Source organism: Homo sapiens, chromosome 14 (assembly GCF_000001405.40).
Source record: "Homo sapiens chromosome 14, GRCh38.p14 Primary Assembly".
Taxonomy (NCBI): Eukaryota; Metazoa; Chordata; class Mammalia; order Primates; family Hominidae; genus Homo; species Homo sapiens.
In genome coordinates this window covers 95,911,599-95,938,378 of record NC_000014.9, presented here as the reverse complement: position 1 = coordinate 95,938,378, position 26,780 = coordinate 95,911,599, and the positions used below count along the sequence as shown (strand labels likewise).

Sequence of the window (26,780 nt, the reverse complement as noted above, 5' to 3'; positions counted from 1 at the left end):
CCCAGTCTCTGGCCCTCTTGGAGATTCTGCAAGCTCTTAACAATCTTTAATAAATTCCTCTTCCATTTAAACCAGATAGAGTAGATCCTGTTGTCTGCAACTTAAAATTTGAATGGGCACAAATATCATCCTCATTCTCATCATCGTCACCATCTCTATGATTTGTATCTTAGATATAAAATGGCTTGAGCCAAGTGTAGTGGTTTACACCTGTAATCCCAGCACGTTGGGAGGCAGAAGCAAGAGGATCTCTTGAGCCTAGGAGTTCAAGACCAGCCCTGACAACAGAGTGAGGCCCCCATCTCTACAAAAAATTTTAAAAATTAGCTGGGTATGGTGGTGCATGCCTGTAGTCTCAGCTATCTGGGAAGCTGAGGTGGGAAGGATCGCTTGAGCCCAGGAGGTTGAGGCTGCAGTAAGCCATGGTTGTGCCACTGCACTGCAGCCTGGGTGACAGAGCAAGACCCTGTCTCAAAACAAATAAATAAATAAATAAAATGGCAGGTGGGTGTTGCTGTCCCTATTTTCTTGAAGTTCATTTTTCTTTTGAGAGGAAAGGTGTCCTGGTATTTTTCTTTATCTTACTTTATATTACATTGTAGACATGCAAGCTATGCATGTATAATAGGTGTTCATGGTGTTCATTAAAGATTTGCTGGCCACTGGCTAGCTGGGTAGAGAGGTGACATTTCCATGATAAAATATGCCCTAAGTCTGATATTTCATTCTTGATTGGTGTTCTTATTAGGATGATTTCAACTGCATGTAATAGATGGCTCCATTAAAAGTGGCTTAAACAAAAAAGGAACCATTTTGCATAACCAGAAATTGGAGTGGATCCAAAAGCAGGGTAGAGTCAGTGTTGTTTAACTCAGACACTCAGGTGTCATCAGAGCCCCTGGTCTTTTCCATCTTTATGTTCTGTCATTTTTTTATGGTAGCTTTTATTCCCAAGCTTATCTCCTCATAGTCACGAGATGGCTGCAGCACTTCCAGACATCACAGATAGACACCAAACTTCAGTAATACAAAACATCAAACCACATTTACATCCTTCCTCTTGAGGTATCCCTTTGGAAAGTGATGACACCCTTTCCAGAAGCTCCCCAACAGATTTTCCTTCATGTCTCACTGGCCAATAAATTATGCCCTATATCCGTTCTCAAACCAGTCCTGGCAGAGAAATAGGTTTATCATACTGACATGTATCATTCAGAATTCATGCCTTGGGGCTGCGGATAAAAGGTGAGAAGAAGGGAGGAGTGGATTTTGGGTAGCAGCAAAGTTCGCCAATTGCCTTCAGTGCACTGGCTCTCAAGTTAGCTACGTCCACATGCTTTACCATCTCACAGGAGCTAAGCAGGTCGGTGTTGCTGTCCCCATTTTCTTGAACTTGAATTCAGGCAGTTGAAAAGTGATTTGCCTGAGGTTGCCCAGAGAAATCATAGGACAGTTGGGCTCGGAATCTAATTGATTCCAAGTTCAGAACCCCCATGGTCCCCTGAGGGGAAAGCACTCTTCCTACAGTTTATGCAGAGGTTTTGCTAAAGCAAGAAAAACTTCAGCATGGAAATAACTTGTTAATTGGAGGAGGCTGCAGAAAAATGTATTCCCTTGCTGGGTTTAACCTTGTATTTTAATAAACTGTTTAAAGGAAAGAGAAACGGTTTCCTATCGGCTGTTGAGAAGTCTGACTCTGTACTGCTGAAATATTTACTCTCCTGTAATTGCTGGCCATCTCTCAGGCTCAGGCAAACTGCTGCACAGGAGAAAAGAATTCAGCAGTGACTCAATGGGACTTCCACAGGAAGAAACTCCTGCCAGTGTCTAACCGTGGTTTGCTAAGGGTCTCCTTGGGAAGCTCATTGGGGATTTATTTCTCGGCAGGATTAATTTCTTTAGTGAGAAAGTCTCAGCTGCCTCTTCCAGAGGGGGTTGGTGGTGGGGGGAGAAGGGGGGTAGAATTTTGGTTACTTTCTATGTGGCATTTTCCTCCTAAGTGCATGGGCTATGCTGGCAAGTAGCTTTGGATTTGAAGGCATTTTCTTTCTAATTCAGATAAATTCAGTTTATTTTAACTCCCATGTACTGGAAGCATTCACTGTATGGAAGGCCCTGTGCCAGGAGCTGAGGAAACCAGGGTGCCTGGAAGTATGACAGTGCCTGGCATGTAGTACATGCAATCTGTGTTGATAATTGGTCACTGCATGTTGTTGAGGTGCTAAGAAATAATGTGCATACAATGCTTCCCTCAGCGCTGCTTACCAATTGTGCTAAAAGTTCTTACTACCGTGCTAACAGCTAATGCTTATTGAGTGTTTCCTTTATGCCAGACACAACTCTAAGTACCTTTCATACATTAATTGACTTAATGTCAATTAATCCTACATTAATTGACTTAAGGTATGAAAGGTAGTTAGAGTTGTGTCTGGCATAAAGGAATTATAATCATGACACTATGTAACTTAATCATTACAATGACACTATGAGGCAGGAACTATTTTGTCTCTGCTTGTGGATGAGGAAGCTCAGAGAATTTGAGTAACTCATTGAAGGTCTACATAGCTGGGATTTGGAGTTAAGAGTCCTGCCTTTGGAAACTGCATTCTTAACCACCATAGCATTTTGCCTCTTGCTGTTTAATATTACTCCTACTATTGTGATGTTATTCTTATTTTTCTTTTCTATTATTATTCTCACTGTGATGCTTCCCATCATAGTGATGTTTTCAAGAATAGTCTTTGTATAACTGGTACTTTCTTTTGGTTTACTTCTTGCAATTTGGGCATGGTACTTCCATGTGAGCAGTGAGTATGGGAGAAATCCTTGGTGGAGTATCTTTTCGGGAACACATATGTGTTCTATCTTGCTGTGGATGCCACTTTTCTTCTTGACAAAGGTTTTTCTTCTTAACACAGGGCAGGCTCCCAGCTGCTGCAAAATAGATCAGCACCATGGAGAGCTCCTTCCAGTCACCAAAATGGAATAAGGGTTTGTGGTCAATGGAAGTGAAATTAAAACTGTTTTTATAATGGTAAAAACTACAATTTGTGGAGTGACTTCTATGTGCCATACACTTTTCATACCTGATCCTATTTAATTCTCACAACTACACAGCAAGGGGTGTGTGATTATTCCCGTTTTTCACATAAAAGAGGACTAAATGTCAGAGGTGAAGCAACCCATTTTCAGTCGCACAGTTAGCAAGTGGGGAAGTCAGAGTTAAATCAGATCTTTTGACCTCAGATTCCTTGCTTTTTTACACTAGATAATGATGCTTTATATTGCCCTGGCAATTCAGTTGTAGGTTTCACCCTGGCTCCCTGACCAAAGGCCACTCCCACAGGAACCTACCCTTAGCTGTCAGAGCCAAAGACAACAGTCTGCAAGAGTCTGCACTGGTTGTCTCCTTCTGACCCTACCTGGCCATTCTACCTAATCACCTGGGCTTATACTCACAGACATAGCTTGCCATGATAATGGGTTATGTATCTATACTGTTTATTGGTGTGGCACTGGCCAGCTACCAGCACATACAGCAGGCACTCAACTAGTATCTGTTGAATGAGTGAATAAATAAATCAACAAGTAAGTAAGTGGATGAATGAGTGAATTGCCTTCAAAGGATCTTCCTCAAAGGCCTGGCCTCCAGCAGTTTGCTCTCCTTTTAATCTTGCCTCCTGAGCTCCAGAGATCCTCCAGAGATTTGCATCTTTGTTTCTGAATTCTGATAAAGGAAAGATGAGTGATTGGGTGGGCAGGAAATGGGCTACACAACATGTACAGGGAGTTGTTCTTCTGTGAGGTAAGCAATAAGGTCCAATAAACATGTGGGGAGACAAATCACTCCACTTGGAGAATATTGTCTTCCTTGTGTGAATGTATTAGAGATGTGTCTGTAATTTCTGTTTCTTCATTAATCATTGAGCACCTATTGTGTACCAGGGACTGACTTAGGCAACAAGGAACTGAGCCAGCCACACTCAACTTCTTTTACTCCTCTATATATTCCACATTCTCTCATTTCTTAGCTTTCTGGAATGCTGTTCCCTCTCTTGGGAATACTATTCTATCGTCTGGACCCTGTGCCTGGATAATTCCTACTTCTCCTTCAAGTCAGAGAGGAAACATTTCCTTCTGTGAGAAGCCATCTTGTAACTCTCCAAATCTGTGGTCAGTGCTCCCTGTGTCATCTTTGACTTTTCTCATCATTGCACTTCACAGGACTCTGTAATGTCATTTTCAGCCTCTTTGTCTGTGTCTTTTCAGGAGATGAGGATATGTAGATGAGGGTCCCTGATGGGCTCTCTGTTATATTTCTATAGCGACCAGCAGCAATATAGTAGGCATCTAATAGATTTTTAATTAAGTGGTTAAAATAGAACATAGGCATAAATTTTCTGAGCAGTAGAATAATGTACATAAATGTAAATTATTTATATTCTTCTCCTTTGGGTGTTGCAGAGGATGTCACCTTCTTTCTGCCCAGTCTGTTATTAAGCCATACACCCATTCCTCTGATTTTTCTATCTCGAATATCTCTTCCCACAACACCTACTGAGCACGTTTTTGTTGCCAGACATTGTTTTACACACCCTTCTTGTGTACATTAGCTTACTTGATCCTTAGAACAACTTTCTAAAGCAGGTTCTACTATTATTCCCTCCATCTTATAGATGAGGAAACTGAGGCAAACTGAGGAAACTGAGGCAAAGTCGATTAACTAGTCACATACCTTTTGTATTAGTTAAGGTTGTTGTAGAAAATAGGTAACACATACAAATTAAAGCAAGTTTAATAAAAGAGCAATATATGAGGTTGAAACATGAGACTGCCAATATTTGTTGATTTTTGACTTTCAAAAATAGCAATTTTATAAGTTTGAACTTAACGCAAATGTATGACCAGAGTTTAGGGCAAGCAACAAGTGATGGTGCAGTACCCTGGGGCTAGTAACCCAGGAAGCTGAGGCACTGCTAGGTCTGAAGGAGTGAGAGGAGGTAGTAGTTACTAGAGCCTAGAGAGGGAGCCATGTAGACAGTCCACCTGAGAGGAGATGTGGCCTTTGGTTGAGCCCATAGTGATCCAGCAGGGAGACAGGGAGCTGGGAAAACACATTTCTCAGCCTGTTTCTTCTCAGTTTCTGCAGTGGTTGCCAGGGCTTTCCATTGGTTGAACAACTGGAAGGCACAGGTCCACGGTATTTGTTGCTGCAGTCCATAGAGTTCAGCCTGTTGGAGCACAGGGCAGAGTGTGAAGGGTAGAGGGTGATTTATAGGGACAAATAGAAGACATTTGGCACAGCAAGTAAGTGAGAGTTGGGTGAAAACCCATGTAGCCTAGTTAAAGAGCCCATGCTCTGAGCCAGCATCTCTCATTTTGAACTTGGTGGAAAGAGCTGAGTCTATATATAGTCACTGCTGCACCAAAATCTCCTCTTGGGGATTTCGATGGAACTTCTCGGGAACTCAGACTTACCAATGAATTATTCACCCTTTATATTAATATTTGATTTCTAACAAAATAGCTGGTTTTAAGAGTGCTTTGGTGCAAAACGGAGCCAGTTTGAACCCAGGGCTGCAGCCTACTCTTTGCAGATCTTGTTCATCTTTGGTAGTTAAATATTTTAGTGTGTAAATAAGGGCCCATCTCAGGCTTCATAAATATTTTAGAAGTTGAGGCTGGCTGTCAAGATGATGGCACATTAATGAACATTGATGGTGTCCAACCAATGGAAGGCAACTCACTTAGATCACAAAATGTCAACTCTGGGACAAATCATGTGAACCTGGATTTTTTTCAAAACCCATACTTTGAGGAAATTTTGAGATAAAAAGCCCCAAAACACCAGGTCTGAAAGAGAAAGAAATGAGATATGTGTCCTGGCATCTGTGGCAACAGTTTTCCCTGGGGCTGAGGACAGCCTTGTTCTCCTTCCCACTTTGGTACCTTGATAGTTGATGTTTCCTCTGGCTCAAACATCTTCTACCTTTAGTACCATGACAAAATCCTACTCGTTCTTCAAGTCTAACTCTCCTAGGAAGGATCTCATGATTTTCCATCTTGTCCTAGGCAGAATAAGCCATCTTGGGTAATAGGATAGTTATATATCTGTCTCCTTGACTAGACTATGAATTACCTTCTTCTCATGGCTAGAGACCATGCCACAGGCATCTCTGGAGCCTCCAAGCCTAGCATGGTGCCTGGCACACAGTTGGTATTCCATACATGTTGGATGAATAAATAAAGGAGCCAATAAACCCTGTTATCTCAGAGGAAGCTGTCTTCAGTATTGGGGGAGGGCTCACTGAGGGTCTCTATGAGATTCCGTGGGAAGCCACTGTGTGTGTTTTCTGGGTACAGTAGGGAGCATCAGCTGGAATTCTAAAATTACAAGTGATGAAAGAGATACATGCACTTGTGCCTTAGTTTAGGCTGCTATAACAAAAAACAATACCACAGACTAGGTGAGTTAAACAATTAACACTTCTCACAGTTCTGAGGTCTTTTTTATAAGCGCAGTAATCTCTCATGAGGACCCCATCCTCATGACCTTATCTAAACCTAATTAACTCCCTAAAGGTCCTACCTTTTCAGATTGGTGATTAGCAAATTAGGGCTTCAACATTTAAATTTGCTGTGGGGGTTGAAGGGGACACAAACATTCAGTCCATAGACACTGAGATACTGGGTTCTTTCCCAGAATGCATGTGTGCCCATAGTCCTGTGAGGTCAGTCTAAGCCCACCTTTCACCCCAGGGAGGAACTGCTGGAATTCTTTAGCAACATGAGTCCAAAGTTCAAAGCCTTTGGACCAGACAATGCTGATTCAAGTCCCAGCTCTGCCATTCACCAGCTGTGGAATTTGGATGACTTACACTCTATTTGCCTCAGTTTGCTTGTCTTTAACTTGAAGCTGGTCACACCTAGCCCTCTGGGCTGCTGCAAGAGACCCAGAACACTATGGTGACCTCTTCCAGCAGCTGTGACTGATTATGTCTCTGTCTTCCTCTGCAAAAGTAAGAGGCAGAGGAGGAGACGTGAGCACTGGCCTGGGAGCACAGGAAGGATATGGTTAACTTCTGACCATGACTGATGCATGGTGTCCTGTCCCATCCACTCCACAAAGATTCTTCTGAGGACCACCTGGAACAAAGGGGTTAAGGTATCTGTCTACACAGAGTGCTCTGAAATTGCAACACACACACCTTTGCCTTATGAATAAATATATCTCTGCTTGTTCTCTTTGTGGATAGAAGATAGAGTTTAAATCACAAATCACTGATGAAGAGATCATTGTGCTCACATTTCAGTATGTAGCTACTTCCAAGTTCCTAATATTTAGTTTTCCAATCACATAGACCTCTGCTACCAACCCAGGTGAAACTACACTTAATTTTGACAATAAAAGGATTTTGAAACATTATTGCATCTGAATCTTGTATCTTTATGATTCTTCAGTGAAAAAATTTAAATACACATATCTATCTAAATATATCTATCTCTATATATTCTTTAATCTCTGCTATGTATTTACTTTTTATTTATCTATGTATCATCTCTATATAATTTGTAATTTCTGTGATTAACTGCTAGCAGAAGAACATACTTCTCAGTTCCCCAAATGATATATAAAGATGTAATCCACACAACACTGAGAGATCAGAATTATTAAACTCAAAACAAGAAAATGAAGGCTCAGCAACACTGAGGGTGTGATCCAAGATCAATAGCCAATATGTGGCCGTGTTGGGACTTGAACACAGGTTTTCTGCTTCTGAATCCCAGTTCCATTTCTGGATAACTTCCTGGCCCTCAGAAAAAAAGGGGGGTGGTCCTTGAAGAGTGAGGATCGGCTTTCTGCACACACTTATTGCTTTAGTACTCACAGGCAATGGAATTATCCTCCAACTTTTCTGGAGGAAAATGGGATAGGTGAGAACTATCAACAGCTTGGGTGGCCAAGCCAATATCAAACCAGAACAGCCTCTTGAAGCTGAGTTCACACGACTCTTCAACACTGAGGCAGTCTCAGAACTTCAGAACCCAAAGTTCTATAGTATAGTCTTTAGAACTAAAAACACTAAAGCGAGCTCTTTAGAAATGAAAACAAAGTTACCAAAGAAAGAACATGGCCACAGCTGGGCGCAGTGGCTCATGCCTGTAATCCCAGCACTTTGGGAGGCTGAGGCAGGCAGATCACGACGTCAGGAGTTTGAGACCAGCCTGGCCAACATAGTGAAACCCTGTCTCTACTAAAAATACAAAAAAATTAGCCGGGCGTGGTGGTGGGCACCTGTAATCCCAGCTACTCGGGAGGCTGAGTCAGGAGAATCACTTGAACCCAGGAGGCGGAGGTTGTATTGAGCCGAGATCACACCATTGCACTCCAGTCTGGATGGCAGTGTGAGACTCTGTCTGAAAAAAAAAAAGAAAGAAAGAAAGAAAGAAAACGGAAAAAAAGAAAGAACATGGCCAACCTTGGTCAGGACGACAGAGGCTCGGGTGGCAAGAAGGGGAGAGAGTTATGGTAACCGTTGGCAGGACACCGCACTGTGGCGGCTGCCCAGTTTCTGAGAATTATGAATCTCTTTGGAAACTGACTGAGGGGCTAGGCAAGCTAACCACATATCCACTCCAACAGAAGCTACACTGTTCATTCTGGCATGCGCAAGCTCGTGAGGAAGCGCCTGAAGTCAACCTTCCCTGGCTCGAGGTCTCAGAGATGAAACAGCCTGTCTGCATCTCGGCAGCTTTGATTTGTGGCTGGACCACATGGGTGGGTCAGTCAATCTGTGCCTTTGGCCTTTCGTGCTAGAAAAAACTCCTTCCCGGTTAAGAGAAAGATGAGATAAGGGAGACATAAAGTGTAGGCTTTGGATCTTGCCAGAATTAAGGCTGATTCACCTCTCTGTGTTTGTTCTAACTTTGATTCTTTTAGTCCCAATGAGACAGATACGAGTTAAAAGCGCTGTCCTCTTATTTTTGATTAACTACAATGCTTAGGGCTATTCAGCTATGACCCCCCTGCTTCCTGCTCTTGGCTGGGAGGTGGGATGTTTCTGCTGCCCCAACAGGATGCTGAGTTGTGCTGTCCTCTTGGTAGTCACAGGTGGATGACAGTGTTGGATGTCTCGGCTTTGAAGCTGAGCATCTGTCTATGTACCTGGCGGCTGCTGTGTCAGGGAGGGAGGTGCGAGGACCTTTCATTACTTTCCCATGGAGACATGCAACTATGACTCTTACCCCATTCTGGAAAAGTTTCCCCATTACTCCCTAATGGAATTGGAGAAAGTAAACAAATACGGCTCTTAACAAAGAGTCTTTTAAGAGAAAATTTACAGCCATGTAATCTTGCTTCTCCTGGCAACATGTAGCCCATCTTCTGGGAAAAGTATCCACAGTTTTATGTAACATGTTTATGAACAACACAAAATATTGACAGTCTGTTCATCCCATCTGCTTCCCATGACAGGGAGGAATCATTGCATAGTGGTGCCAGAGGGTCTCCGGGTCCACAAGGGGATCTTTCTGGAGGTGTCCTGTTATAGGGGTCCTGCCTTCAGGGAGATGGAGGCCACAGAAGTCTCCTAGGTGAGCTCTTTTGGAAGAGGAATCAGGAATTTGGCCTCTGGAACTTTCTCTTCTTAATGCGTGGCATGCTCCTAGCCAGTCTGGGCTCATGAAGTCACTGGTAGGAAAGTGCCTAAATGGCCAATGGGGTTGTTGGTGTGGAGAACAGTGAGACAGGGAAGGGGGTGGGCTTTCTCATGCTCTGCAGGCAGCTGGTGGGAAGGGGCCCTGAGTTAAGCATGGGGGTGGCAACATGTAAAGGAGAGGAAAGTGAGCGAGGCCCTGGTGTTTAGAGGAGGAGGAAGGGGAAAGAGAAAGAAGGAATAATAAAGAAAGGGACAGAGGGAGAGGCAGAGGCAGAGAGGGAGGGAGGAAGAAGGGGAGGCAGACAGGAACAGAAGGAGAAGGAGATAGGGAGGGAGGGAGAGGGAGAGGGAGGGACAGAGAGAGGCAGAGAGAGGGAGGCAGAGAGAGGGAGAAGCAGGGAGAGAGGGAGGGAGAGGGAGAAGCAGGGAGGGGGGTGGCAGAGAGGGGCAGAGGGAGAGGGAGAGAGGGATGGAGGGAGAGGGAGAGAGGGATGGAGGGAAAGGGAGAGAGAGAGGGAGAGGCAGAGAGGGAGGGAGAAGGAGAGAGGGATGGAGGGAGAGGGAGAGAGGAATGGAGGGAGAGGGAGAGAGAGAGGGAGAGGCAGAGAGGGAGGGAGAAGGAGAGAGGGATGGAGGGAGAGGGAGAGAGGGAGGGAGAGGGAGAGAGGGATGGAGGGAGAGGGAGAGGGAGAGAGGGATGGAGGGAGAGGGAGAGGGATGGAGGGAGAGGGATGGAGGGAGAGGGAGAGAGGGATGGAGGGAGAAGGAGAGGGATGGAGGGAGAGGGAGAGGGATGGAGGGAGAGGGATGGAGGGAGAGGGAGAGAGGGACGGAGGGAGAGGGAGAGGGAGAGAGGGACAGAGGGAGAGGGAGAGGGAGAGAGGGACGGAGGGAGAGGGAGAGGGAGAGAGGGATGGAGGGAGAGGGAGAGAGGGATGGAGGGAGAGGGAGAGGGAGAGAGGGACGGAGGGAAAGGGGGAGGGAGAGAGGGACGGAGGGAGAGGGATGGAGGGAGAGGGAGAGGCAGAGAGGGAGGGAAAGAGGGATATGTCCTTGAAGCTTGCTGTAAAGCACACTACCTGAGACCACTCTAGGGGATCATGGGGGAGAGATGGACAATGCTTGGGATGCTTTAAAGAGCAAGGCTGCATGGTTCGTAGCAAAACACTGACAATGACCTTAAGGGTCAGCAGTAAGAGAACAGGGTAATTTGTGATGGTACATCTAAACCACAGAACACTGAACAACCATCACGAGGGCTTGCCCATATAGATCCATTGATGTGGAAGCGTATTCATAATTGCCAATGACAAAATTATTTGGAGGCACTGCTCATAGCATGAGGCCATTTTTTATAAATTACAATATCCAATCTATTGTTTATAGGTCAATGTCTGGATGGGCATTCAAGGATATCGTCTAGAACATCTTACGACCCAAGTTACAGAAATGTGGAGAACTGTCCACTGAAAGACTGCAGGGGCCACGGGGGCAGTGGCTGAAGAGTGTGCCCTGCCAAAAGACAAAGAGATTTCAAAATTCAAGAAAAAATGGACTCACCAAACAGAGTCCTGCTGCTCTATAAATTACACACTAGCTCTATAGTGCTAGTGTACTATACAATATAATATATATAGTACAAGCCACCTGCTCTATAAATTACACACTAAATATTAATAGTGGTTGCTTCTGGGTGGTGAGATTTGGGAGTTACCTTAATTTTAAAAAGTGCTTGTATATAGTTTTTAGAATTGTAATTATTTTTTGACTGTGACTATGAGTGTGTGATTTATGAAAAGACAACAAGAGTAGGACCGAGTTGCCATGTGAACTTCCCTTTCTGTTGCTGGCATAAGGCCCCTCTCTGGTCCTCCCTGCAGGCAAGGGAAGCATGCAGACTAGAGGGAGCGAGGCCAGAAGGGGCCCCCAAAATGTATGCCCAACGGCTCCCTGGCTGCCTTCATGTAGCAGCAGGAGCTTAGCATGACCTGAGCATGAGCTATGGGCCAGGCCTGGTGGTGCCGGCAGCTTCAGCTGGTCAGGCTCCTTTAATCCTCACAAAGCTCCGCCAGGTGGGACTGTTGTTATCCCCTCTTACAGGTGAGGAAAGCTGAAACTCAGAGTGAGTTCCTGTGAGCTGCCCGTCATCACTTACACTGAAAGAGGCAGAGATGGGGCTCAGGACCAGGAGGTTTCTGGCCATAGGGCAAGTGCCCTGTGGCTCCAAACCACCAGGCTACACTTCCAGCAGCATGGCTGGCCCTCCGGGGCTAGGACCCGGCCTTTCAAAGTTGCCTTCCCAGAGGAGAGGTGAAAGGCCAGTTGTATTGTGATCAGTTGTATTGTGATCAATACAGGGCCAGCTGTATTGTGATCAAGAAGTGCCAGGGCTGATGGGAATCTGTATATTGTGACTGAGCTAGCCAGATGGTTCATCACACCACCTGGGGCAGGCAAGGTGCTGACGGCTGGTGGACGTGGGGCAAAGACCTGATTCTGCTAGTTTCTGGCTGTGCAATTTCAGAAAAGTCGATTTGCTTTTTTCCTTCATCTTGTAAAGTGGGGATAAACACACATCTCATGGGATTGTTCTGTGCCCAGCAGGATGAGTAGAAAGTGCTTGGTAGAGTAGATGGCCCTGGCATTGTTTTGGGTATTGCTATTGCTGGCCAAGGCTGGGCTTGGGGCTCACTCAGATGTTGAGGATGGAGGGGCACTGCCAGCCTCTCCCTTCCACGTCCCTTCGCGATGGCTTTAGATCTGGGGGAAGCTATGAGTTTGCCCAGTGTGTATTCATGGTCTCTACTAAATTAGAAGGGAAACAAGACAGGGCATGCTGGAGCTGTGGGAAAGGGCATCACTGCTCTGTTCAACATTGAACAGGCAGCTTTATTTCCAGGCTGTGGATTAGGACAACTTAGAAGAACCATCCCGGGAGCAGAGGATTGGAAAGGCACTTTTCCCCCTCAATACATTTCAAATTCGTATACTTGAAAAACCACTGAGGCTTCTATAGTCCACACAAAATAGTCTCCGTTTAACAGCATCACATTCAGTTTTTTTTTTTAATAAATAAACACTATGTATAGGCAAAGGACTGACATTGAAATGTTTTATATCCCACAATGTTGAAAGAAAAGACATCGAGTATTTTTTTCCATTGCACCTTTATTGTTTATTCTGTTCACTGTTCAGAATTTTCATACAGTCTTTCTAGAATCACACAGAGCCTACTGAGTAGCTCCTTCCCCCTGACACTGCTTTATTTCTAACCAGCCTCCTCTCATCCCTTATCCTTAGTGTATGATATTCTGCTAGTGTCCAGGGAGTTCCCAGGGTTGTTTTTACAGGGGAGGGAGAAGGGTGTGCGGTGGTATGCCTGCAGCTTTCTCTCCTCTCCACCTCCTTTCTTGTTCAGCAGCCTCCGGACCCCCAAGGGCTAAGGAATCAGACACATTGGGTTTGGATCTTGACTCCACTAGAAGCCATGTGATCTCAGGGACATTTCTTGACCTCTCTGAGCCCTTTTTCCTTCTTCTACAATGTGGAGAAAAGACTCCCTCTCTCACAGGGTTACTACAAGAATTCAATGACTCCAAGTATCCAAAGCATCTGGCACAGTGCCTGGGCACACAGTACGCCCTACATGCACCTTAGCTTCCTTCCTTCTGGCAGGGAAGAGAAGATATCATAAATCAATGCCAGAGCCAGCTGCTCAGGGGCATTTTCTTTATAAAAGAGCCTGGTCCATTTAACAGAGCCCAAGAAATGACTCTCTAATGGTGGAATTTCAGACACTATAGCATGGGTGAGGGAGAGATCTGCAGGCATAGACTATAGAAGCCTCAGAATCATTTGAATCCAGCCAGGCAGACTGCTGCTGCTTCTGCCCAGGGGCAAGGCTGGTGATAGAGTTTGGCTGTAACCCCACCCAAATCTCATCTTGAATACCCATGTGTTGTGGGAGGGACCCGGTGGGAGGTAACTGAATCACGGGGGCAGGTTTCCCATGCTGTTTGCATGATAGTGAAAAAGTCTCACGAGATCTGTTTTAAAAATGGGAGTCTCCTTGCACATGTTCACTTCTCTTGTCTGCCACCATGTGAGACGTGCCTTTCACCTTCCACCGTAATTGTGAGGCCTCCTCAGCCACGTGGAACTGTAAGTCCAATAAACCTCTTTCTTTGTAAATTGCCCAGTCTTGGGGATGTCTTTTTCAGCAGTGTGAAAACAGACTAATACAGCTGGCAATGGCAGAAGGAATACTAACCCTCTCTTTAAGGCCATGCCACTGTAGCCAGGCAAGGGCCCATTTCAGGGAGCCAGAAGGGAGCTAATTTGTTTTTATGCAACCATCCCTGCCAGAGAGGAAATAGCTTCATGTGGGTGTAAACCAGGGGCTTTAAAAATACAGAAGTCCTTTAGGGCAATCATTAAATCCCCTCCTCATGTCCCTGAAAAGTCACCTGTCACAGGGCTGTCCTCACAGCCTGAATCACCATGAGATCTCCTGGGGGAGTTCTTGTGTCATTTATACCCCACCCGCTTTTGAGGAGGATCCCAGGTATCTTGCAAAGGAAGGAGTAATGCACCTAATCCCGAGCTTTCCCCCTTGTTCTTCCCAACTCTCGCGGTACATGACCGCTAAAATCAAAATCTGATAAACGAATGGTCACAAGAATGAAACAATAACGCTGCCGGTAAGAAGCTGAATATTCTGTTCAAAAGTTCATCTGCAAATATAGCCACGCTCTTCTTCCTCAAAGGTAGTCCTTTTAATTTTAAGCTGATCTATCACTCAGCCCTTATTCATGCATAATTCTCAGTAAAGATAGGGTGCATCTAAGGTCTGCATGCCCACAATCATTTTATATCTCCGAGATAACAACAAAAAGCCACTCAATGGACAATCTTAAAACATGCACCCAAAACCATGGCTGACAGTATGGGAAAATGTCCTTCAGACCAAAGAGGCAGAGAGAGAGGAGAGAGAGAGAACAAAAGCGCAAGGTAAAAGACTCAAGATGAGACAAAAGGACTAGAATGGCTCCACAACAGAACATCTGTAGTTGGGGGAGGAGGGGACAAAGCAGATAAAACTAAGGAAAGCTCTATGGATCTGGGAGTGCCTCTCCAAGTATTTGGTTCATGCTAAAAAATAGAGCACATTTATTAAAAATATATATTTATAAACCTTGACATGAACAGATACACATGTCAAGCCAATGAAAAAAGAAAAATAAGTTATCTCCCCAGTATCAAATAGTTAGACACTTTTGATGAATGGGATGCCTGTCAAAGGGCTGCGCCTGTGGTTTTTCCACTAAATAGCTCGTCAAGTGAAGATGAAACACTTGTCCTGGGAGACACACATCTGAGCCATGTCCGCCCTATTCATCTTTTCAAATATGTGATATCTGTCAGCGATCTGGAATAATGAATTTCTGCACCCATCCGCTCACTGATGGTGTCAGAGGCTGGTCTTCCAAGCATTCTTCTGGGCCCCCTGCCAAAGACGTTGAGTTCCTAGTGCTGTGAATGAGTTTTGTTGGAATCATTGTGCTTTAGTGTCTGCTCCCTGCAGCAGGATCGGTCTATTTGTGTGACCTTTTGTAAAGTTTGAAGGTGCATTTGATTGGGTGGTATGTGCGGGTCAAGCCTGCTTGTTCTCGCAGGGTCTGGTCAGTGATGCGCCGACACGCAGGACTTCCGTCTTTGGCCATTCTGAGGCCTCTGAGGACGCTCTGGGCCATTCACAGGGTGGTGTATATGTAGACAAATATGATCACAATCAGGTTCAGAATGGTCCCGATAATCCCCAGCATTGCCAAGACACTCTCCTCTTTACTTTCTTTTTCTTGACCTCCTCTGTCTTCATCATTTTCACTAGTGATTACCATCTTGGTTGCAAATGTCTTTATCTTCCTTGCCAGGCTAACCTGTAATTGGAAAGAGGCAGCACAAAAGATGATCATTTATAAGCATGCCCTCCATAGCCAGGCAGATCTGTAGTGGGTAGTGATCTGCTTGCAGGTCAGAACATGGTGGGAGAATGACAAATCCCACAAGGATCCTACCTTGGGACACCTTGCTCTTGGCCATGGGAAAAAGGCAGAACACGGCTAATTGGTTTAGAAGATGAGTGTCCTGACATTGGTACAGAGAGAGGAGCCTAGAAGTCTACCCGGGCATCACCCACTTTGTTGAGCTGGTTTTCCCCCCTTCCCTTGAAGGAGAAACTGGGTCAGCTGCACTGCAGTGAAACTAAAGTCTGTGCCCTCCATCCTGGTGGTGGGAATTTCACATACTCTCACATATTGGGTTACACGCAAGAAACATGCTGTCCTGAGTATCCACAAAGTGTGTATGGGGCATCACAGTCCTACCATGCTAAAGCTCTGACTGCGGTATGGGTAGGGGTGGCTGGAAGCCAGGGAAGGTGATTCATTGAGACCAGGCAGGATGGTAAAGGGTCTATGCACGGTGTGGATGAGTAACGCCATGAGAAATTCTCATAATCCCTGGTAGAAACAGATATTGCTACAATCATTCCAGAAAGTTTCCAGGCATTAGCTAGAAAAGTGAACAGACATATTCTACCACTGGGCACCTGCTCTGCCAGGTTATACCCTAGAGAAGGCCTCACTTCTGTGCACCTGGAGGCATGGACACAGGACTGCTCCCATGGGCTTCATCTGCCATAGCAGAGAACTGGAAGTTACCCAGATATGCACCGAGAGGAGAGCAGATGAACATGTGGTGGTCAGTCTCTACAATGGAATATTATATGATGGTGAAATGAATGAATTAGAACTACAGGCAACAGGAAGAACAAAGCCCAGACACTTAGCGGAGGGAAAGAGCACATGGCAGACAAATTTGTGCAGTACAATTTGATTTATAAAGGCTCGAAACAGGCAAAACCAAGTCATCTATTGTTTTAGACATGTGCTATTTGATTTTCATAAAAAGTAATGGAATGATTAGCACCAAAGTGACTAGCGCAAAACTCAGGAGAGTGGCTTTCTCCAGGCAAGAGTGGAGCAGGCTGCCATGAGGGAGGGGCACCAGTGGCCTTCAGATACTAGTCATCTGCCATCTGTTAAGCTTTAAACTGTTCCTTTAAACTGCAGGCATATCTTCCAGCTACTCTTTTTGTATGCATGGTATGTATTGCAATAATCAAAATAACTTTTTATTTTCGAAGACAGAAAACATGGCCATCCAGGAGGCAGACTGGGCAGCCAAAGCCTTCTTTTCTACCAATTGCTGGTCCAAACCACAGGTAAAATAGGATCAGTGTGTGTGGTGGTGGCAGCCCGTCCACTTGTGATGTGATGTGCACCAGGCCAGCCCCATAGCTACATTTCTTCCACTGGAGGGCTGTGCCTTTAGAGCCAGGAGGCTTTTCACGCTTCAGGGTTTGATGATGGTTAAATTTATGTGTCAGCTTGACTGGGTCATGCACGCCCAGATAGCTGGTCATGCGTTATTCTGGGTGTGTGTGTCAGGATGAGATTAACATTTGAATTGGGAGACTGAAGAAATCAGACTGTCCTAAATGTGGGTGGTGACTGACCAATCAGCTGAAGGCCCGAATGAAACAAAAAGGCTGACATTCCCCCAAATTCCTCCTGCCTGCCTGCCTTCAAGCTGGGACAATGGCTTTTTCCTGCCTTTGGACTCGAACTGTTGATTTTCAGGTAGCTCTTCCTGGGCCTTGAGCCTGCAGGGCTTCAGATGGAACCACACCACTGGCCATCCTGGGTCTCCCGCTTGCTGACTCATCCTGCGGATCTCAGGACTTGCTGGTCTCCAAAATCACGAGTCAACTCTGTATAATAAATCTCTTTATATACACCTATATATATCTTACCAGTTCTGTTTCTCTCATTCGAATGCTATCTTAGGGCACATATCCAGGAAGGATCACAAACGGGAATCCAGGAATGTGGGAATGTGAAATGAGATGGGAAATGAAACGTCTGCATGCCCTCCCCCTGTGCACATGAGCCCCTGAAAGGGCTGGGTCGCTCGCACCTTACAGAGCGGCTCTGGATCCGGAGGACAGGACATGTGAATGAACATCCGTATGAACGAGAGGCAAGCACATCAGTGAAGAATGGAGGAACTGATGCAACATGAAACTGTGCATAAGTGAACAAATGAACACCCTAAAGGCAAGTTTCATATTCTTCACAACTTCGGTTTACTAGATAGGCCTACAGTGGGTTCCTACTCCCACAGCTCAGCTAGGGAAAGCTTCTAGTTGGATTCGTTCGGTTTTCCTGCTTTTTCTCCCCTCGTATACTTTTAATGATGTATAGTAAACATACAGGAAAGTGCACAAAGTTTAAATGTACAGCTTGATACATTTTCATATCTGTTTAGCACCGAGATCAAGAAACAGAGCCTTCCAGCACCCAGGGGCCTCCCACAGTGCCCCATCCAATCACTATCCCTACCTCCTGAAAACCATTATTGTGGCTTCTAGCACCATTGGTGAGCTTTGCCTGGTTTTGAATTCTGCGTAAATGGAATCATACAGTATGTCCTCTTTTGAGTCTGATTTCTTACTCACAACACTGTGTGTGAGATTTGCTCACGTCGTTGTGTATAGCTGTGGCTCGTTCACTCTTATATGTGAACAGTATTCCACTGGATCACTACACCCAAAATTTATGTCTCTATTCTATGGCTGATGGGCATTTTCACTGCTTCAAGTTTGGGGCTATTATGAATAATGCTGCTATGAACATTCTTGTATATATATTCGGGCAAGCATATACATACATCTTTCCCAATATTTCATATTAAGTTTTTTAACATACAGCAAATTTGAAGGAATTTTACAGTGAGCACCCATAAACTCACCATCTCAAATCCATTACTAACATGTTCCCATACTTGCTTTGTCACATATCTGCCCATTCCTTATTCATCTATCTTCTTTTTTGGGTGCATTTTAAACTACATATATCATTATTACTATTATTATTATTATTTTGAGACAGGCTCTTGTTCTTTTGCCCAGGCTGGAGTACAGTGGGGTGATCACGGCTCACTGCAGCCTTGACCTCCTGGGCTCAAGCGATCCTCCTGCCTCAGCCTCCCAAGCAGTTGGTACCACCAGCGTGCACCACCACGCCCAGCTAAAATTTTTACATTTCTTTTTGTAGAGACTGGGTCCCACTATGTTGCTAGGCTGGTCTTGAACTCCTGGGCTCAAGCAATCCTCCTGCCTCAGCTTCCCTAAGTGCTGGGATCATAAGTGTGAGCCACCATGCTTGGCCTAAACTGCAGATACTATTTCATTTCCCCGTAAACACTGCAGCATGCTGCATGTTTTAACTACAGTTTTTATTTACAGTTTTCTCTTTTAATGTAAAATTCACACGTGCATTTCCTATTACTACATACATACCTAGAAGAGGAGCTGCCGGGCACAGGGTACGCATACGTTTGACATTAGTGGATACTGCTAAACAGCTTTTCAAAGTGGTTGTGTCTGTTTGCTAGTTTGTAGGTATTAGTGGATCCCCCCTTTTTATTTTGGTGACTCCACAGCTCAAACTTTGCACAAAGTCATGAGAAGTCTGTTGTAAGAATCTTAGAAATCCACTCCCTTTACTGCCCTGGACAGATGTCTATCCAAGCACTAGTCATGTCTCTAATGGAGTCTCTGGTTTATCATCCGTCGTCTTAGAAAGACTGCAAGCCCTTGGAGGAAGGACTTTTGAATCCCCACCTCCAAGCGTGATGCCGGGCATGGAGCAGGCACTTAAGAAAATTGTGCTGAATGAATGAGTGGGTGCTCTGGGGCAACCTGGCATCTCCCAGTCTCTACAGGCCAGGGAATAGATGGCCAGGATTGGTATAAGAAGATACAATTAGTGCTGCCTTTATAACCAAAGACCCATCATCACAGTCACTCAAGCAAAACAAAGCGCCTGTCATGGAGGCTGCTTGGTTTCAAGGCTTAATTTAGCCTCTTCCCTGAATTAACTCGAGATAACTCTGACTCAGGAGGAAGTGGAGGGGAATAATCAGGTCAGCTGTGTTTACTTTCCGAGGACTCTGAAGCAAACAAAGACCTAGAAGAGACCTTCTCCGACTCACAGAAGAGTTGCACCTCGGGTGTTTGTTTCCAAGTTGCTTAAGTCATCAACTTGGAAACTTCAATTCCCCTGTAGACAACACGTTGGGAGTGTGGCTTGATTCCCAGGGGAGTTACTGAGGGCTTCCTTAAATGGAGAAGTTAGAATATTGTTTTCTTTGGAAAAAGTTGTCTGGCCAGGGTCTGGAGGATGAACAGTGATGGAGGAGACTCATAGAATCCAGGAGATTAGCCTAGAAACCAGAACAATAACAGAGATGGGAAAGGAAAACAGAAACAATAAGCAACAAGTATAATAATAACAGCACATTTTAAAATGGATTAGAGAGTGTAACGGGAATGTTTGCAACTCAGTGGATAGATGCTTGAGGGGATGGATACCCCATTCTTCATGATGTGTTATTTCACACTGTGTGCCTGTATCAAAACATCTCAAGTACCCCATAAATATATACACCCACTATGTAGCCACAAAAATTAAAACTTAAAAAATAAAATTTAAAAAATTAAAAATAAACAACAAGCAAAGGCTGGGGCCAGTCAATGTCTGACATAAAGCTTGCTAAAGGTTATACATTCATTTATCCACTCAATCATTTACTCATTTCTTCCTGCCAGGGGCTGGGTGGAGGGGGAAGTGGGGATTGGCTGATAACAGTAAAGGCATTTCTTTTTGGAGTAACAACAATATTCTAAACTTAGATTTTTAGTGACAGTTGCACAACCCTAAATACACTAAATATACTAAAGCCATGAAACTGTACACTTCAAATAGATGAATTCTGTGGTTTGTGAATTATATCTCAATCAAGATGTTAATTTTTAAAAAACAGTATTTGTGATAGTATCTGAAATATAAAGTGCCCAGAAATAAATCTAATAAAGATGTGTGAAATTTTGATGAAGAATACTGTAAAACTTTACTGAAAGACATAAAAGCAGACCAACATGAAAAAGAAGACATACCATCTTCACGGAATGCTAGATTCAATAAGCAAGATTCAATATCCTAAAAACATCAGTTTTTCCTAAAGTGTTCTATAGGTTTTTTGCAGTTCCAGTCAAAATGTCTATGGGGTTTTTGGTGATATTTGACAAGTAGGTTCTAAAATGTATATCAAAGAGCAAATGGATAATAACAGCCAAGATGTTTACTAAAGAATAAGGTAGGGAGATCTGCCTCATAGGGCATCAATATGTCTTAGGTCTAAGGCTTATACAAGCCTTAGACAAATAGGCCAAAGAAACAAAAACAAAGTTACACACACATGGACACTGCTGATCCACAGGGGTAAACGGGTCTTTGATGAGCAGTGTTGGAATACCTGAGTATCTGTATGAAAAAATAAATGAAATCAAATCAGTAGTTCATCAGTTCCAGATGAATTATAGATAAGAATAGAAAAAGAACACTTCGAAACTTTTATAAGGCAATATAAAGGAATATCTGTATGACCTTGGGGTAGAGAAGGATATCTTAACAAGACATAAAAGCTCAAACTATAAGGAAAATTATGAAATTCGATGACCTTAAATTCAATATCTGTTTATCAAAAAAATAAAATATCATCAAAAGTGAAAAGTTAAGCCACAAACTGGGATATACACTATACATCATTCTAGTCTCAAATGAGTAGGAAAATGATAAATATCCAGTAGAAAACTGGGCAAAACCATGTCCAGGCATGGTTTACAAAAGAGTAAACAGCCGTAAAGAAGCTAAACCTCAGTACCAGAGAAATGCCCATTGAAACACAGTGAGCTACCATCAAACAGCCATCAGATTGGCAAGAACTAAAACATCTGACAAGACCACTGAACACTGACAGAGTCTGTACGGTAGCAGGGACTCTCAGATACCTATGGCAGGAGTATCAGTGGATACTGTCACTTTGGAAAACAGGATGGCATTATCTTATAAAGCCAAACATACTCACACCTCAGTGACCCAGCCATGCCACCTTGAGATACACACCGAGTACACCTGCAAATGAGCAGCAGGGTACATGGATAAGAGCATTTAAAGACAGCAATGTCAGCATAAGCAAAATGCTGGACCCAGCATCAATGGCCATCAGCGGTGGCCTGGATCTACCGTTGTGAGTTCTCATGCTGGAAAAACACACAGCGTCGAGGAAAAAATGAAATGCTGGAACGTGCCATCGCATGGATGAATTGCAAATACAATATCGAGTGCAAAAGCGCGTTGCAAAAGACCACAGAAAGGATGTTCCCACTTATGTGGGAAGTTCAGAAACAGGGAGATTCTAACAATATTTTATATGGAGATACAAGTGTGATAAAAACACAAAGAAAAACAAGAGAACAATAAATCCCAAAGCCGACGTAGTGGTTCCCACTAAGTGGACAGGATGGAGAGGATGCTCAGGACTCTCTAAGCCACTGGTAATATTTCTCAAGCTGGTGGTGGGTACATGAGCGCTTGCTCTTTATACTTACATTCTAAATATGCTTCTCATATCTATTCCATACTTAATAAGTTAATTGGTGATTTAATACTTACTAGTTAACTGCATAATTAACAATAAAACAATACTGATATTAAAACAAATTAATTAGCAAAAACAATTTTTTTTAAAAAACACAGGGTTTTAAAGACTGGGTATATTAAGTGCTGTGCTGAATGCCAAAAGAAGCCCCGCATGGTAACCAGGAAGGGAGCCACTTTTCTGGAAAGACAGAGTGCTCCTCATCAGCACCCCTACTGTGCTAAGGCGATGGGCAACTCACTTTCAAGCACAGTTCCCAGCAAGCCAGTCCTCTGTTGGGCTGCTTCCGATGAGCACACTTGAGAGTTTTTAATCATTTGCTTAATTAGGATGCGTGTCTTGGAAAATAAACCACGAGTATACAGTGACACAGCGCCGTGTGTGGCCTGGGCCTAGAGGCTGCAGAGCAGCTAGGGAGAGCCCTGCAGGGGGACTCAGGGTTCAGTGTGGAATCCCAGCCGGGCAGGGCTAGAAGGCACGGAGGTCATGGCTCACTGGGCCTAACCAGCATTCATGGTCTTTCTTTGGTCTCGATTTTCCTCTGGAAAATTACCCTTCCTAATGGAGGCTGTCAATCAAGCTGCCATGGGGATGGGTCTGGATCCTGGCTAAGCCTATAAGATGCTCTGTCTCTGGAGCTTAGTCTTAGGTAGGGTGATAGCAGGTGGGTCAACTGTAAACACTGACTCATCCTAGCCACGGTGCTGAAATGAGGTTCCATTAGCTGCTGCCGCCTGGATGCCTGCAGCCAGGCTGACTTTTGCCCTTTTTAAAGCTCAGCTCACCATTTCCTTCTATCCCATGAACTACCCCATATCCCTGCAAAAAACAGTGTTTTTGCTTAAGGCAGTTGGAACCCATTTCTTACCAGTATCTGTTGCATGCAACCAGAGCTTTTACTTGTACAGAAGGGGTATTCAAGGTTATTTTGTTGGCTTCTTTGAGCTCCCTCTAGAACACACAGTGCTAACCAAGCCTCCTCTTGAAGACTTCCTATCATTCTGGAATTTACCACCTCTCAGGAAGTATATTCTACCTGCCGACAGCTCAGTCAGGAAAGCCCTTTGCTTTAAAACAAAATATTCTCGCTTAGCTTGCACCCACTGGAACTACTTTTATAACCAGGAACTAAACAAAAGCAAGTCCTTGTTATCCTCTGCAAGGGAGCACCACGGTTTTTGAAAAATTGATACGGAAGGAATGACAACTCTGGCTTCAGATATAGCTGGGATCCAATTTTGTCTCAGTGGTTTATCAGCTATGTGACTGGGGCAAGCTGCTTCATCTCTCTGAGCTTCAGTTTCCTCACCTATAAAGTAGGGATAACAGTAGCTTGTAGGATTAAAGACATTAGTTCTAAGTCTCCTAGCTTGATGAATGGCAGCCACTATGATTAAGTGGTGATGATGATGATTGATGATGATGACAATGATGACAGAGGCTCATTCTCATGACTTCACAAGCCCTTTTGTCCAGCTAAGCACCTTCTGTTCCCTACTTGTCCACATAGCCACTCCTAATCATGATCCCTTCTCCTGGGAAGGCCCACCCTAAAATCACAGCATGCATAAGGAAAACATAAGGGAAAGATTTTCAGCCCAAACTGGGCAGGTTTGTCCTCTCCCTCCTGGATGTGGCACATCCATGGATGCTAATAAGAACCACTTCACTTTGGGGTCACCACAGTATGCCATGACTTACGATGCTACAAAATCACATTGCTCCCTGTTTGTGGAAGGTGAGCATTTTTAACCCAAGAATAGGACTTAGTATTTACATTACAGTCCAGGGGGCTGACCTCTGCCCACTGTGCCAATCTGTTGAGTTTGCCTTGGCTTCTAGATGATTGTCTTCCTACACAGTCACTCTCCTCCCAGCTTCAGATCATCCACACACTGGATGTGCACCCTCTCCATACAGTTACTCACCTTCCAGTTTTTGACTAGGTTTCCAGCTTAATACCAACTAGTTCATTAGCACTCTTCCAAGGCTGTCAATTGGTTACTGTTTGCCTTCTCCTCTGGCCCATATTTATCCAAGGTTGCTATAAAGTCCACCTAGGGGCTGGGCACGGTGGCTCACGCCAGTAATCCCAGCACTTTGGGAGGCCAAGGCGGGCAGATCACAAGGTCAAGTGATCGAGATCATCCTGACCAACATGGTGAAACCCCGTCTCTACTATAAATACAAAAATTAGCTGGGTGTGGTGGCTGGCACCTGTAGTCCCAGCTACTCGGGAGGCTGAGGCAGGAGAATCGCTTGAACCTGGGAGGCGGAGGTTGCAGGGAGCTGAGATCGTGCCACTGCACTCCAGCCTAGTGACAGAGTGAGACTCTGTCTCAAAAAAAAAAAGTCCAGTCCATCTAGGACTTAGAGGTCTCTAGGTTAGTGACCCTGCTGGACAGACCATGGCTGAGCGATATCCAAGATGCTGGGTCCTGGCACTTTCTGCAGCCTCTATTTGCTGGTGAGGTTTCCTCTTTATGACTTCTCTAGACCAATTTCTCAGAGCCAATTCTAAGAAATGGAGTTTGTCCCTTGCCAAGCCACTCAGTGATCAATAGTAAATTGCGGAATGAAAAATTCGTGTGATTACAACTCACTGATGCATTACCTGGCAGCTGAAAATGATGGTGACCATTCTCAGCAAACTAACACAGGAACAGAAAACCAAACGCCGCATGTTCTCACTCATAAGTGGGAGTTGAACAATGAGAACACATGGACACAGGGAGGGGAACATCACACACCGGAGCCTGTCGGGGAGTGGGGGACAAGGGGAGGGAGAGCATTAAGACAAATACCCAATGCATGCGGGGCTTAAAACCTAGATGATGATGGGTTGATGGGTGCAGCAAACCACCATGGTACATGTATACCTATTTAACAAACCTGCAGGTTCTGCACGTGTATCCCAGAACTTAGAGTAGAATTTAAAAAAAAAAAAAAAGGAAAGAAAATGATGGTGACAAAGACCATGAGGTAAAAAAAAAAAGATGCCCGGCTAGGCGCGGTGGCTCATGCCTGTAATCCCAGCACTTTGGGAGGCCGAGGCGGGCGGATCACGAGGTCAGGAGATGGAGACCGTCCTGGCTAACAGGGTGAAACCCCATCTCTACTAAAAATACAAGAGAATTAGCCAGGTGTGGCGGCAGGCGCCTGTAGTCCCAGCTACTCGGGAGGCTGAGGCAGGAGAATGGCGTCAACCTGGGAGATGGAGCCTGCAGTGAGCTGAGATCGCACCACTGCACTCCAGCCTGGGCGACAGAGCGAGACTCCCTCTCAAAAAAAGAAAAAAAAAGAAAAAAAGGAAGATGCCCACGATGTGATAAGGGGAAAAGCACAGGATATTAAAATTCAGTTCTACTTATGACTGCAAATAATTTTTTTCTATTAAATAGTTTATTTTTGTTAATGATGGGAATATTTTCTCAGTAAGTTCAAACAATTTTGTAAGAGGGAAGGATAAGCTAGTGTTAGATCTAGAAAAGTTAATACAGCATTATCTTGAAATTTCAGGGGGAAAAAGTGGTTGACTGGAACTTCATCTATCTTTTTTAACCAAACAATGTTAAAATAAACACATTTGAATAGAAAACTGTTATCTAGTTCTTTTATATTTCAAATGTAAAATACTTTAATAGAGAAAATTCCATTTTTCTGCATCTATTTAGACAATATTACAATAAAAGGCAGTGTCGAATGCAGAACGTAGCCAGTGAGAATATTAGGTAATGTAAATTTAAGAAGAAATTTGCTTTTCCATATTAAATAAAATCAATGATCACATAAATTCAACATGATTATGGGGACTAAAGTAAAAATACAAAGTACAATATAGTGCAAGTAAGATTTTTAAAACCTTACTTGTTTAGGAAAAACATGCTGGGGGAAAAATTCAGAAATGTTCTATAACATAGTTGATTATGTTAATTTACTTTTATCATGTTCAAAGCAATCAATATATAAATAAATAAAACTACGAAGACTACGAGTGCTTCTGTTTTCCAACAATCCTCAAAGAACCTCACCAGCCAAGTGACAAGAACAACGCCGGTATGCAAGGAGAAATCTTCATGTCAGTATCTCTCTGCCTGAGAGGCTGGAATTTGAAAACCAAAAGGGGCCATTGCTGTATGTGAAAAATGACAAATGAAGGAGGTTCTGACAGCCTTTCTATAGTACAGCAGAGATGTTTAGGCTGAATGGGAGTTGGGTTTTGGGTCATTTAATTCTAGTACCAACTTGTTTGTCAAAATAATGCCAGTCTCAGAACTAAATCTTTGCTCCCTGATGTGCTAAAAGGTACCAGACATTCCGGAAAAGGAAGACAGGGATTATTCTATCCAAATTCTTTCCATTACTTGCTGGCTGCTTTCAATGGAGTGGCTCAGGCTCAACTGTAATTCTGAGTGTTTCTCCGTCTTGAGAACATTTCCATATTTTGGAGCGGGGAAGGTTCACGCTGATCCTATCTACGATGGCAAGCTCCTG

The 26,780-nt window shown here is 44.1% G+C and overlaps 1 protein-coding gene across 3 annotated transcripts in view, besides 1 other annotated feature; it reads right to left on the bottom strand.

Annotated features, from left to right (window-relative positions):
- Positions 2,860-3,060: a silencer, noted in NCBI's record as "peak2244 fragment used in MPRA reporter construct". NCBI's record gives its function as "represses an SCP1 promoter by STARR-seq MPRAs in K562 erythroleukemia cells {active_cell/tissue: K562}" and the evidence as "EXISTENCE:reporter gene assay evidence [ECO:0000049][PMID:32103011]".
- Positions 12,808-26,780, bottom strand: part of TUNAR (transmembrane neural differentiation associated intracellular calcium regulator) — a 49,124-nt gene continuing 35,151 nt past the window's right edge. For all 3 annotated transcript variants that reach the window (NM_001416133.1, NM_001416132.1, NM_001416131.1), the window contains one exon: positions 12,808-15,598. In NM_001416133.1, the coding sequence (NP_001403062.1) occupies positions 15,413-15,559 (147 nt within the window). In that variant the 5' untranslated portion in view covers positions 15,560-15,598 and the 3' untranslated portion in view covers positions 12,808-15,412. The remainder of the gene's footprint in view (positions 15,599-26,780) is intronic.